Source organism: Homo sapiens, chromosome 21 (assembly GCF_000001405.40).
Source record: "Homo sapiens chromosome 21, GRCh38.p14 Primary Assembly".
NCBI lineage: Eukaryota > Metazoa > Chordata > Mammalia > Primates > Hominidae > Homo > Homo sapiens.
In genome coordinates, this window is record NC_000021.9 from 46,271,607 (window position 1) to 46,286,341 (window position 14,735).

The window sequence follows — 14,735 nt, forward strand, 5'->3', positions numbered from 1 at the left end:
CCAGCACTTTGGGAGGCCGAGGCAGGTGGATCACCTGAGGTCAGGAGTTCCGGACAAGCCTGGCCAACATGGTGAAACCCTGTCTCTACTAAAAATACAAAAAAATGAGGCGGGCATGGTGGTATGTGCCTGTAATCCCAGCTACTCAGGAGACTGAGGCAAGAGAATCGCTTGAACCCAGGAGGTGGAGGTTGCAGTGAGCCAAGATCGCACTACTGTACTCCGGCCTGGGCAACAGAGCAGGACTCGGTCTCAAAAATAAAATGAAATAAAAAATTAAAATCAACCACACATCTAGATATTCTGTCACACAGTTCTTGAGGAAAATACAAAGAAAAAAAAAAGAGGTTCACCATTGATAGGGGATTCTTAGAACTAAAGGGGACACTGTCCACCATAAGTCCAGCTTAACCACAAGCAGAGGGTCCACCACAAGCAGAGGGCCAGAGAGCTCGCCAGACTTCGCATGTAAGTGACTAATTATGGATCAGACCAGGGTTTTACATTCATTCATTCTCACTACCCCATTCTTCGCATTTTTGTTTTACATAATTTTTTCCTCTCTTATTCTGAGATCTTTGACAAAACTATCTGGGAACAGGGAACTGCTAACAACCTTGCAGGGCACCTGGAACTCCCTCTCCTGGTTCACTCACCTGTCTCATGAGGAGGATTCCTTCCTCATTTTCTCACTGGTGAGGAGAAACTATTTTCAGAAATGAACATGTGGGGCCTACGTCAGATGTGCTGGTCCCAGGGCACACCCCCATCGCTCTTCCCCCAGCTCAGCTCAGCCGACTGCAAAGCCAGACCAAGGTCCTCTACTATCATCCCAACATCTGCTACCAGACAGAATGCTGCACTATTGGCTACTGCCACTCCTGAAAGCTCTTCTCCTGTTTAAAGCCTGCCTTTTCAGCCACCTTAGGACAACTTTTGGATGTGAAAATTCACCTTAGGATGTCTCCCTTGTTGAGACTGAGCAGAACATTGTAGCCCTGGAACTCCGCTTCGCTGGCACAGAAGACACCCTTGTTTCTCAGGTCCTGGTACATCTCCTTCAGGCTCTGCAGGCACTTGGTCATGTTCTCATTATTGATCTTGGCATCAAAGGAGGACATGGGCTCCTCACACATGAAGTGGGCACAGTGGATGTGAAACCGGGTGCACTTCTCAATCAGGGACACCGTCAGGGGGTCACAGAGGTGCTGCTGCGTGATATCCTGGCCACAGGCGAGGGGGAGGATCACACACACATTCCCATGCAAAGAGGCAACCGTGAGAAGGATCATGCTACGACCTCAATTTCTCACTTTTCAATTTGAAACAAAGCCCATGATGCACATTTTAATAGGACTTTGTAGTGACTTAAATAAAAGTCCTGGGGTTTGTTTTTTTTTTTGAGACAGAAGCCAGGCTGGAGTGCAGTGGTGTCATCTTGGCTCACCACAACCTCCGCCTCCCAGGTTCAAGCAATTCTGCTTCAGCCGCTCGAGTAGCTGGGACTACAGGCGTGTGCCACCACGCCAAGCTAATTTTTGTATTTTCAGTAGAGATGGGGTTTAACCATGTTGGCCAGGCTGGTCTCAAACTCCTGACCTCAGGTGATCCACCCACCTCGGCCTCCCAGAGTGCTGGGATTACAGGCCTGAGCCACTGCACCTGGCCCACAAAAGTACATTTTTGTTACAGATAAAATATATAACAGAGTAATAAAAATATCAGTTTGACTTTGGAATTTGCGTGGATTTTTTAGCATCCAGGTTGGAGGCAGCCAATACCTTCCGTATGCCACGCGTGCGGTTCCACACGAAGTCATACCAATCCCGCAGGCTGCCCTCCTTCTGGTCCATGATCTGGGTCACCAGGTAGTCCATGGTCCTGCTGAGCACTGGCAAGGGCCGCAGCTCGTGGGGCAGGGGCTCCTCCTGATCCGCCGAGGACCGACTGTACTCTTTCACAGCTGCTGCGTGGTCCACCTAGAGACATGAAGCCGAGACAGGATGCCCATGTGGCATACCTTGGGCCAGGCATAGTTATGCCTGAAAATGAGGGGGAAAATCACATACACACCCACACAAGATCAGTATTTGAGAATATATTTTTTCAACATAAAATTTCTGTTAAAAGGTGACAATCAAAATTCAAAGACAAATAGAGAAATTTGATTTTGGCAAATATGACAAGGAGTTAAGATATGAGTGCGTCATGACAAACAGGAGGAATGTTAAGTGAAGGCACATCTGCTAGCCTCCAAAGCAGAGAGACGGGACAGGGAAGGGCCTCAAGCACTTAAAAGGTCTCAGGCCCGCTCACACACCAGATTAAGTCTACACAGAGCAGAAGTGAAACAGAGACAGGCGGTGAGGACTGCTGAGGACACAGCATCAGGGGCTGGCTGCCCACCTGGGGCCTGGAATTGCATCTCCCACCTCAAAAGGAGGCTGAAGACGTGGCCAAGGGAAGAGGCAGAGATGTACACAGGACAAGGCCCTGGGCATGTGCCTCTCCTGGGGCAGGGGCCCTACAGTGACACGAGTTGCTGGGCTGGGGACCCCGCACCAGGCGAAGGGTGTATAAAGCCACCAGCCAGGAAGAGGAGAAGCCCATAAGCAAAATTCACAAAGTCCAAAAGGATCTATATTGGTGCAGCTTTCTGGGGCAACAATTTGGGAAGATACATGGATAATGTTCAGGAAAGGTCATACCCTCTGATGCAGTAATTTAATTCTTAGGATCTGAAGAAAATAATCTAAATACCAGAGAAGCATTACATACAAGATGCCAAACAATATTACTAATAGAACTAAAAATTTAGAAGCAGCCTATCTACTAATGGTAAAAATGCAGAGTTTTGACAGAGCTACTAATAAAATAATATGCTGTCATTTTTAAATGCTCATAGTTTACCCTAACAAAGGAAAATGTTCATGACATAATTTTAAGTGGAAAAGATACACATAAAATTGTATCTAGAGCATAATCTCGAATGTGTAAAACATAAGCATAGAAACAGACAGGAATAAGATCGTAAAAAGAAAAAAGTTAGCTGGATGTGGTGGCTCACGCCTGTAATCCCAGCACTTTGGGAGGCGGAGGTGGGCAGATGACTTGAGCTTAGGAGTTCGGGACCAGCCTGGGCAACACGGCAAGACCCCATCGCTGCAAAAAATAAAACAGTAACTAGGCGTGGTGGAGCATGCCTGTAATCCCAGCTACTCTGTAAGCTGAGTGAGAGGAGAGGATCACCTGAGCCTGGGAAGTTGAGGCTGTAGTGAGCCATGATTGGACCACTGCACTTCAGCCTAGGTGACAGAGTGAGACCCTGTCTCAAAAAAAAAAAAAAAAAAAAAGAATTTGAAAAACAACTTTATTTAAAATAACTTGCATCTATACCTTATCATGTATAGGTACCAATTACAGAGTGAACATCTCACAATGCAAAACAGCTTAATATGATTGTTAATAGCACAAATACCCAACACTGTCTAAAACAAACACCCAAATCAAGTATGTACAGAAATGACAAAAGCAGCCCCGTCCCCTGCCCACACTCCACGGGGAGATGCAGGGCTCTACCTGGTCAGTCCCTGGGACCACTTCGAACACGCTCAGCTGGCTACGGGTCTCCCGCATGTACCTCTCCTTCTCAGGACACATATCCAGGCAGGTGCCAACAAAAGTCCTCGCTTTGTCCAGATCGGTTCTCTTCACCCGAGCTAAATGACGTCAAGTAAAAGGTAAGAATGTACCACATGGTTAGCACGAACCTACAGAAGTGTATTCTCATAATGATAAAAAGAAATTAAAACTTAAAACACACACACACATTACAAAAGAAAAGAAAAACATTTGTAAAACTCAGAGCCTCAGACAAAGAGGACTTATGGTCTATTATGCCAGGCAGTGGGACATCAAAGCTCCCAAAGACCCGAGTCCACCTCTCTCTAACAGTCACAGACCCTCACTGCAGACTAAGAGAAAGACCCCCGAGTCACCTCTCCAACAGTCACAGACCCTCACTGCAGATAAAAGCAGGGGAGTGTCCTCACTTTCAGCCGGAGTTTTCTAACTCCTGTAATGACCTCAATGACAAAAAATCATGGTGCAGGATGTTTACTAAAAGGATTGACTTGTAACAACTGCAAATATTCAAAATATATCACTATTCTAAAACTGTCTCAGTATTCACCATGACTTTAATATAAGAATCATATAATGGACGTTAACTGGGTTCTTACCTGAATGAGTAAACTGCTATTACACTTAAGTTACAATGTAGCTTGCAAGGAAAAGGAAATGCAACAACTTCACACTCAAAATATATACTTATTGTTTTCATGTTGAAAAATTCTAATACCTGGGCCCGGCCTGGTGGCTCACGCCTGTAATCCCAGCACTTTGGGAGGCCAAGACTGGCAGATCACCTGAGGTCGGGAGTTCGAGACCAGCCTGACCAACATGGAGAAACCCCATCTCTACTAAGAATACAAAAATTAGCCGGGCGTGGTGGCGCATGGCTGTAGTCCCAGCTACTCAGGAGGCTGAGGCAAGACAATCACTTGAACCCGGGAGGCGGACGTTGCAGTGAGCTGACGTTGCGCTCACTCTGTCATGGTACTCCACCATGGGTAACAGAGCAAGACTCCATCTCGAGGAAAAAAAAAAAAAGAAAAATTCTAATACCTAATAATAATTTTTAGAATATAAAAATCACTGTATCAATGATATGATGTTTGATGGCAGCTTTTATTACTATATGTTATTATATTAAGGAAACATGGTGATTATTCAAATTATCCACAGCTTTTAAAAAGAGGAAACTCCTATAGCTGATTTTTTTTTTCTTTTTGAGATGGAGTTTCGCTCTTGCTGCCCAGGCTGGAGTACAATGGCACAATCTCGGCTCACCGCAACCTCAGCCTCCCGGGTTCAAGCCATTCTCCTGCCTCAGCCTCCCAAGTAGCTGGGATTACAGGCATGTGCCACCACGCCCGGCTAATTTTGTCTTTTTAGTAGAGATGGGGTTTTTCCATGTTGGTCAGGCTGGTCTCGAACTCCTGACCTCAGGTGATCCACCAGCCTCGACCTCCTAAAGTGCTGGGATTACAGGCGTGAGCCACCACGCCCAGCATTTTTTTTTTTTTTTGAGACAGAATCTCACCCTGTTGTCCAGGCTGGAGTGCAGTGGCACAATCTCGGCTCACTGTAACCTCCACCTCGCCAGTTCAAGTGATTCTCCTGCCTCAGCCTCCCAGGTAGCTGGGACTACAGATGCACACCACCGCACCCAGCCTGCTTATTTATTATTTATTTATTTATTGTAGAGATGGGGGTTTTGCCATGTTGGCCAGGCTAGTCTTTAACTCCTGACCTCAGGTGGTCCCTCATGCCTCAGCCTCCCAAAGTGCTGGGATTACAGGTGTGAGCCACCATGCCCAGCCCGGCTGAAATTTAAGAGAAAAAAATTGGCTAAGAGAAGTACCTGTGTTTTTTCCTTTTATTTTTGGTCCCTGCATATATTTTTAGTGTTAATGGAATACTTACTTTTTAGTAGGTAATACATTCACACAGTTCAACATTGTAACAGTGTAAGAATGCCCTGTCCAAGACGGAGCACTCCACCATAACCTCTGCCCCTCGGAATCCCGCTCCCTCTACAGACAGGAGCCCATTCTTTTGCATCCTCCCACTACTATTTTATACATACATTAGCAAACATATTTGCACATTTATGTACACATACACGCAACACTCACTCCAAGAAGACAGGCAGACTATGAAGATCAGACACAGCATATCACAGGCTCTGAGACTCAACAGCAATAGAGCCCAATGGAAAGGAGTTGCTCCTGCCCTGATGGCACCCAAGATGACGACCTCACCAGGCCCCTAGAACCTCTGCCACCAAGTGCCATACCTTGCCGCATGATCCTGTCTCTCTGGTCAAGCAGGCGGTACTTCTCCTTGGATGTCTCAGCCACAGTGCCTATCAGGGTACTGAGGGAGAGCACACATGGCCCGAGGCCCTCGGAGCCCTCGGAGGCTGAGTCAAAAGAGTCTCCCTCGAATTGGTGGGCCTTTAGAAGACTTGGCTTCTTCACTGGAGAGCTATAAAGTAAACACCACACTGAGGGCCCTCGTCCCAGGAAGGCCTTCAGAGCATTTTCATTTCTGAACACGTCCCCTCATCTTTCAAGATTTTCTGGTCCTCTAAAGCTGAGAAACTACAAGCACTGAAATGAGATGAGTTTTGATAAGGATGGTAATGAGCACAAAAGCGTTATTCACATTACTCACTGACTTTAATATAATTTTGAAATATTTCATACTTTTGAAAAACAAAATAGCCTGGGCAACATAGGGAGACCCCATCTCTACAAAAAATTTAAAAATTAGCCGGGCATGGTGGCATGTGCCTCTAGTCCCAGCTACTCGAGAGGCTGGGGTGAGAGGATTGCTTGAGCCTGGCAGGCAGAGGTTGCAGTGAGCTGAGATTATTACACTGCTGCTCTCCAGCCTGGGTGACAGAGTGAGACTCTAACTTACCACCCCCCGAAAAAAAAAAAAAGATAGGCTCATTTAAACAGCTAAAATGAACACTTACTGATTTCTATTTCAAAGAAATAAACTCAGCATGAAAAAAGTCTTTAATATCATAAGGAAATATTAAGCCTACATGTTTTAAAACAGAAATTATTTTGGTAGAAGGACATACTAAAAGGAATCAGGCATTCTCTCTCAGCTTCCCCATTTTCTAGCTTTCATCATTTTCTGAACTTGAATGTCAAAGATTATGTCAAACCAGCAACTAAACTGCTCGTCACAAAACGGAAAGTGAGGAAAATACATTGGCCAAAAGATGAAAAGATGGATTCAGCCGGAGATCTGTCAAAGTAGGCCTGGTGTGAAAAGCAAAAGCCTTTGAGAACAGAGTTCCCCAGACAGACAAGGTAGCCAGGGCACTTCACATCACATGCCGGTTAACACAACTAACATGGCCGACCGTGTCTGCTTCACTGTGATAAGCTGCACCTGCAAAAAGTCATGCTGCCCTTCCTTTAGGAGACAGCCTTTTTTTTTTTGAGATGGGGTCTCGCTCTGTTGCCCAGTCTGGAGTGCAGTGGCGCAATCTCGGCTCACTGCAAGCTCCGCCTCCCGGGTTCACGCAGTTCTCCTGCCTCAGCCTCACAAGTAGCTGGGACTACAGGCACCTGCCACCATGCCCGGCTAATTTTTTGTATTTTTAGTAGAGATGGGGTTTCACCATATCAGCCAGGATGGTCTCAATCTCCTGACCTTGTGATCCGCCCGCCTTGGCCTCCCAAAGTGCTGGGATTACAGGCGTGAGCACTGCGCCCGGCCAGGAGACAGCTCTTCAGGAAAAAAAAAAAAAAAAAAGTAATGCTGGAAACTGCTGAAAGTGATTATTAGAAATGCATGGTTTGGCCGGGCATGCATCTCTAGTCAGGAGTTCGAGACCAGCCTGGCCAACATGGTGAAACCCCATCTCTACTAAAAATACAAAAATATTAGCTGGGCGTGGTGGAGCGCACCTGTAATCTCAGCTACTAGGGAGGCTAAGGCAGGAGAATTTCTTGAACCCAGGAGGCAGAGGTTGCAGTGAGCCAAGATCGTGCCACTGAACTCCAACCTGGGCAACAGCCAGACTGTGTCTCAAAAAAAAAAGGAATGCATGGTTTATTACAGCCAGTTAAATGTCTTGAGGTAAAAAGTTATTGCTTATACATTTATATGTCAAGTGGAACTGCACTTAACTGCAGTGGGATTCAGGACGAGTTAGATGAGCAAGGAGATTTCCTACTACAATCCTGTGAGGCAGGCAGCGACCCGCCACAGGGCGCCAGCCTGCGTGTGTCCCACAGAGCAGGCACTCTGTGCAAGGACAGAAGTTCTGCTGTCCTAAGTGAGCAGCCTCCCCTGGATCTCCTGTAGCTGCAGCTGAAAGGTCTGTACCAGCTATAACAACTGTGTGATGAGATTCTCCCATAGAAAATGCCAAGATGGAAACAAGAAAAAAAGGCCAGCCCCAAAGGAAGGCTTTCTCAGCAACCTTGGCCCTAGGGTATATGAGAACAAGACAGGACAGAATCACTGCTCTCCACCATCTCTGCAGCTGGCAGTTACCAGTGTCAGAAAATTCTCTCTTCTGGCTGGGACCACCAGCCCCACACAGACCCACCTCCTAACGGCCCATGCTGGCAGGAGGGGCAGAGCCCCTGCCCCTCCACCCCCAACCATCCCTAGCAACTGGCTTTTGTCTCCTCACCACTCCCCACAGTCTTGCACCCTGACTCAGGTGTCGCTATAGGGCGCTATTTCCTGGTCCTTCCGGAATAAGGTCATTAGGAGGGACCGATCCCACCTTTTATTCAGGAGGCTGCTAGCACCAGTCCTCCCTGCGGCCTTGCCAAGAGGAGAGTGCTGAAAGGGTGCATCCTCTGTGCTCGGGCTGACTTCACCGTCACCTGGTTTCTTCTCCTTCAGGGAAAAGGGTTTCTTATTGGGGCCTGTGGACATAGGAGGCAGAAAAGAGTTTATGCAATCACAGATCACCTGGAACTGGATTTTTTCACTCTGTTTCTAAGAAAGTAATATTATTTTCATTGTCACAGGAGGTTAGAGAAGAGCCCAAGGAAATAACTGTGAGATGCAAATCCACTGAGAGCCAGCCTCCTCCACTGGCTGGGGAAAGGGCTCACGCTCAAAGGGTTTGGACCAAGAGCATGAGAAACTGAAAAGAGGGCCATGCACAATGGCTCATGCCTGTAATCCCAAGATCAGACTGGGCAACATAGCGAGATCTCATCTCTATAAAATAAATAAAAATAATTTTTTTAAAAAGTGAAAAGAATAATTGAAAACTCACTTATTTTCTTCCTGTGCCAAAAGATAGCCATGTCTTTATGCAAACTTTTCCCCTTCTTTCTAGCCAGGGCTGCAGATGCCTGGAAAACAGTCCACAACCGCCATGTGTGAGTATATCAGGAAACCAAAGGAAATGGGATTGAAAACTCAAATGCAGTAAGCACAACAGACCATTCAAAGGCACCAGGAGCTCCTGTCCTTTGCACGACAGTGATTTCTCCACCCACACGTCTGCTAACTGCATGGTCTCTGGCTGCGGCAGCAGCAGTATTCATCTCCCTTACCTGTCTCACAAGCATGTATTTGCTCTTTCCCCCTTTTTTTTTTTGAGACAGAGTCTCGCTCTGTCAGCCAGGCTGGAGTGCGGTGGTGAGATCTCAGCTTACTGCAATCTCCACCTTCAGGGTTCATGCATTCTCCTGCCTCAGCCTCCTGAGCAGCTGGGACTACAGGCGCCCGCCACCACATCCGGCTAATTTTTTGTATTTGTAGTAGAGACGGGGTTTCACCGTGTTAGCCAGGATGGTCTTGATCTCCTGACCTCAGGTGATCCGCCCACCTTGGCCTCCCAAAGTGCTGGGATTACAGGCGTGAGCCACCGCGCCCGGCCCCTTTTTTTTAATTAACAACTTTGCTTCATAGAACTCACAAACTTGGCCTTGTTGGCATTTGGTGAGATGATTCTCACCAGCTGATCACACATACAGAGACAGAAAGTTTGCGAAGTCACAATTAAGCACAAAAGGGAGCTGCAGAATAACACACATGGGATGCCACTTACCACAGAAAACACACACAAAACCAACCACGTTAGTCTCCGTGTAGATACACTCATAAAAATGTCTAAAAAAATACACATCACACTAGTTAACTGGACTGCTCCTGAGTAACAGGAGAGATGAGGATATTCAGTTTTGTCTGTATCAATGAATTGTTTATAAAGGCAGTCTATTTACATATTAGTTATGTCATAAAATATTTAAGGTTCAGCTGGGAAAATAAGCACATTGCAACAGGCAAAAAATAACTGTAAAAACAAAAGGGGGTTGGGCATGGTGGCTCATGCCCGTTATCCTAGCACTTTGGGAGGTGGAGGTGGGAGGATCACTTGTGCCCAGGAATTTAGGACCAGCCTGGGCCACATAGTGAAACTTCATCTCAAAAAAATAAATAAATAATAAAATAACAATAAAATAAATAGTAGTAATAAATAATAAAAACAAGGCCAGGCATGGTGGCTCACGCCTGTAATCCCAGCACTTTGGGAGGCCAAGGTGCGTGGAACACTGAGGTCAGGAGTTCGAGACCAGCCTGGCCAACGTGGTGAAACCCCCTCTCCACTAAAACTACAAAAATTAGCCAGGCATGGTGGTGCACACACAATCCCAGCTACTTGGGAGGCTGAGGGAGGAGAATCGCTTGAACTGGAAAGGTAAAGGTTGAAGTGAGCCAAGATTGCGCCACTACAATACAGGCTGGGAGACAGAGCAAGGCCCCGTCTCAAAAACAACAACAACAAAAATGAGAGCCGGTACAATGACTCAGGTCTGTAATCCCAACATTTTGGGAGGCTAAGGCAGGAGGACAGCTTGAGGACCGGAGTTCGAGACCTGCCTGAGCAACACAGTAAGACCCCATCTATACAAATGTAAAAATACAAACTTTTTTTAATTAAAAAAATTAAAACTAAAAACAAATTAGGATTACCATATGACCCAGCAATTCCAATCCTAAGAATATACCCCAAAAAACTGAAAGCAGGGACTCAAATAAGTCATATGCCAATGAACATTATTCACAATAGCCAAAAAGTAGAAACAACCCGCGTCTGCCAACAGACGAATCAACAAAACGTAGTCCATCCACTCAATGTAGTATCATTCACTTTATAAATTTATACTTTATAAATTCCTATAGAACGTAATTTTGTCTATGAGAATACTCAGAAAAAATAGTGACGATATAAAGCTATATAACATAAGCAGTCCACGTTCACTGCACCCTAGAAAGTATTATGCATACATTTAGGCTGGGCGCAGTGGCTCACGCCTGTAATCCCAGCACTTTGGGAGGCCGAGGCAGGCAGATCGTGAGGTCAGGAGATCGAGACCATCCTGGCTGACACAGTGAAAGCCCGTATCTACTAAAAATACAAAAAAATTAGCCGGGTGTGGTGGCGGGCGCCTGTAGTTCCAGCTACTCCGGAGGCTGAGGCAGGAGAATGGCGTGAACCCGGGAAGTGGAGCTTGCAGTGAGCCGAGATCATGCCACGGCACTCCAGCCTGGGTGACAGAGCAAGACTCCATCTCAAAAAAATAAATAAATAAATAAAAAGAAAGTATTATGCATACATTTAAAGTCAGGATACAAACCCAGTGCTTCAAAGCAGTTATCTCTAGAGGACAGACTGACAAGGGGAATTTCACTTTTTTTCTTTTTCTTTTTTTTGAGACGGAGTCTGGCTCTGTCTCCCAGACTGGAGTGCAGTGGCACGAACTCGGCTCACTGCAACCGCCGCCTCCCGGATTCAAGCAATTCTCCTGCCTCAGCCTCCCGAGTAGCTGAGATGACAGGCGCGAGCCACCACACCCAGCTAATTTTTTGTATTTTTAGTAGAGATGGGGTTTCACCGTGTTAGCCAGGATGGTCTGGATCTCCTGACCTCATGATCCGCCCACCTTGGCCTCCCCAGGTGCTGGGACTACAAGCGTAAGCCACCACGCCCGGCCAATTTCACTTTTTCTGTATTGTTTGAACGTTTACAGCGATCATCTTCTATGACCAAATAAAACAAAAACAAAACCAAAAAACTCAACTTCCAAAAGTACTATGTGGTTAGAGCCTTTCAGAAGAATTTCTGAATTTCTAAAGCCTTTCAGAAGAATTTCACTTCATGAGAACAACTCTCCCAGCATTTCTAGAGTACTATATTCTGTAGGGACCTAGAATATGCCAAGTTATGAAATAAATAGTGCTATCCCAGCCTATGCTAATAAGATATTTGAGTACTTTCTCTATATTATAGTAAGCAAACAACTGAGGGACCAAAAAAAAAAAACAGGTTTTAAAGTGACAAGGTTCAAATCTAGGGTAACAAATGGCAAGATGGGAGTACTCACATGATCAAAGAAATGTACCACTGCAAGCTTTTTGCTGCGCCTGGTAAAGATGCGCTGCACTTTAGCAATTTTGCCAAAATGGTTCTCCAGAATGGTCCTGTCGTTGAGGTAGTCAGGGATGTTCTTGCACTGGATGGCTGTGACTTCAGAGGGAGACAAGCCCCCAAGACTGTCTGTGCTCTCGCTTCTGTTACTCTGACGCGCCGGAGTTCCTCTTAGAGAATCTAGGGGTTCAGAGAATGGACACTTAAACCATCAGATGTTTCCAACAACAGGAGGCACCAACTGTGTCGAAGCAGAGGAAATTTTCAGATGTAAGACCTGCTCCGATGACATGTTAGAATCCCTAATGTTTATGGGAGATTTATCTGAAAAATCAAGCTAACACCCAGAGAAACGTATTGAAAACCTGCCTGCAGGATTTACTCTATGTGCTACATTTTCAGAGCTCACCTTCTTTCTTCTCTCTACTTTCAGTTTCTTCCTCTTTATTCACACCTGGAATCCGGGAAGGTGCCAGGACAGACTGATTCCCTCCTGGGATAGCCATGTGGTCACTTTCTGCAGACTCAACAAAGCCAGTTTCCTTTTTGGCCTCCTTGTTGCCCAGACGACCTACTTCCTTATTGCTTTTGAAAACATCCTGTATCGTCCGACCAAATAAAGTACCTCCCCGGGGTCGATTCAGGCGGACAGGTCGTTTGTCTGGAGGATGATCGCCCCGGGACAGAGGATCCGAATCTTCTGCTGGCTCGTGGCCATGTCTCCTTGGGGAGCGATCCTGGTCCTCCTTCCTTTTCAGTCCTTTCATTAGGCTGGGAAGTGGTTCCACCTGGGAAACAGCTTCTTCACACCCCTGCCTGACACCTGCTTTGCTAGCCTGGAAAGGTTCGCCCAAAACCGCAGATGATACAGGGAAGCTACTGAAGCTATTATTAGAACTTCCAAATATTGACTTAGGTCCTCTCTTCTCTTCCTCTACATTTTGGTTTGACAAAGCAGGGGTAAAGGCAGATAATGAATTATTACTACTAACAGGTTTTGAAAAGGTAAAATTTGAAGTGGTAGCTGAACTACTTGTTACTTGAGGAAAAGAGAAAGGGGCCAGGCCTCCAGGTGCACTACTAATTGGGTGGGAAAATGTAAAAAACCCAGAAGCAATTTGGCTCTGGGTTTTCTCTGGCTCAGATTCAGCCCCCAGTATTGGTTTGAACACTGCATTTTCCAGAGGTTTAAAGCTGAATTCTGTTTTCCCAAAACCAGAGTTCACTATTTCTCCAGCTTCTTGTCCAAAAGCAGAAGTGCTTGGGAAAGCCCCAACACTGGTGGGTGATTTAAAACTAAATCCTGTGTTTCCCAGCACAGATGAACTTGAAGGCCCAGAGGTAGCCACAAAGGTGGAAGTGTGCTCAAGTCCAGAAAAGGGTCCAACACTTGAGGTTTGGGTGAACCCTAATGTTTGCACTGAAGAGGAATGACTTACTCCAGAAGACGCTGGAAAGCTGGATACCTGTGAAAATCCCGAGCTCTTCCCAGATAAGGTACTGTTTTGTCCAAAAAGAGAAGGTTGACCAAATCGAAATGGCGGCTTAGATGGAAGTGTTCCTACATTACTAGAAGACGCCGAAAAAGCACTAGGCTGCTGCCCACTGAAAGGATTAGTTGGGTTCATCTTCTGCTCCAATTATTAGAAGGTAATTAAGTATTATGTGTACAAAATTAATTGGCTTCCTGAAACAGCCTGTAGCACTAGGGAGTTCCCCTTCGTCTTTAGAACAAGCTGAAAGAGAAAAATTCAGATCATCATAGCTATGTTCTGCTACAAGTCTAAGAAAAGAATTTTTGAACACTGTCATACTAAAAGGATAACTATTTCAAAGGCAGGCAAAGGGTTATTATTTTCTGAGAGCCGATAGGTTATTTTGTTGGAGGGTGGGGTAGAGAGTGGTACAAATAATTACTTTGTTACAGAGGTTTAAAGCGTGATCCTTTAAGATTAAAAAAAAAAAAGCCGAATCTTTTTACTGAGTTAGTAAATTCATGAAAAACCTCCATTGGCAGTAAGAAAATGAATGCTGTTCCACCTTACAACTTAGAGACGAATTTCTCCCGACTTCCTCCAATCTCTACAGCCGGAGAATTCACTGTAACGCTGTCAAAACCTTAGCGTTTCGGGATCTCCTCCCACCTGGCTTCCCTCGGAGCGGCTGGAGCGCTAAGCACTTTCTCACATTCCTTCATCGCGCCCTGGCGGCCACCCTCGAGCGGGCTGGAAGGACGAGGGCGCTGCCACGAAGCTGAGGCCTCTCGGCGGGGACGGCGTGCCCGGGGAGCCTAATCTTCCACCCAGCACAGCCCGAAACGGCGGAGGCCACGCGCTGGGCCCAGGCCGGCCTGGCCACTGTCCCGCCCCGGGCTCGCCAGGGGTCGCCGGCGCCGCAACGCTCCGTTAGCGACGATGTGGAGGCCCGGGCGCGCGGAGCTGCGTGGGGGAAGGAAACGGCGCCCCTGGCGCCGGCCCAGCCCCCACGCTCACCGTCTCGCCCCAGGACCCCGAGGCCCGCGCTGCCCACTGGCCCCTCGGAAAGACTTGAGGCGCAAGCACAGGCTGCTGCCGCGACACTCAGCGCTGCGCACCGCGGGCAGAAAACGCCGCGGACCGACTTCCGGTTCGCTCAGCACTACCGGATTCCGCCCCGCCCGCTGCGATCCGGTTCCGCTCCCCAC

At 46.7% G+C, this 14,735-nt stretch overlaps 1 protein-coding gene across 4 annotated transcripts in view, besides 1 other annotated feature; it reads right to left on the bottom strand.

Annotated features, from left to right (window-relative positions):
• Positions 1–14,659, bottom strand: part of MCM3AP (minichromosome maintenance complex component 3 associated protein) — a 51,133-nt gene extending 36,474 nt beyond the window's left edge. Inside the window, exons 1-9 of one of the 4 annotated variants that reach the window (XM_005261205.5) lie at positions 14,545–14,659; positions 12,462–13,788; positions 12,009–12,232; positions 8,891–8,969; positions 8,387–8,531; positions 5,921–6,111; positions 3,580–3,719; positions 1,782–1,979; positions 955–1,223 (exon numbers count right to left, since the gene is read on the bottom strand). In XM_005261205.5, the coding sequence (XP_005261262.1) occupies positions 955–1,223; positions 1,782–1,979; positions 3,580–3,719; positions 5,921–6,111; positions 8,387–8,531; positions 8,891–8,969; positions 12,009–12,232; positions 12,462–13,680 (2,465 nt within the window). In that variant the 5' untranslated portion in view covers positions 13,681–13,788; positions 14,545–14,659. Of the gene's footprint in view, positions 1–954; positions 1,224–1,781; positions 1,980–3,579; positions 3,720–5,920; positions 6,112–8,386; positions 8,532–8,890; positions 8,970–12,008; positions 12,233–12,461; positions 14,006–14,092 lie in introns of those variants that run through there. The other 3 variants (XM_005261204.6, XM_005261203.5, NM_003906.5) reach the window with 3 other exon arrangements.
• Positions 14,370–14,599: a silencer, noted in NCBI's record as "silent region_13417". NCBI's record gives its function as "represses an Ori minimal core promoter by ATAC-STARR-seq in GM12878 lymphoblastoid cells {active_cell/tissue: GM12878}" and the evidence as "EXISTENCE:reporter gene assay evidence [ECO:0000049][PMID:35858748]".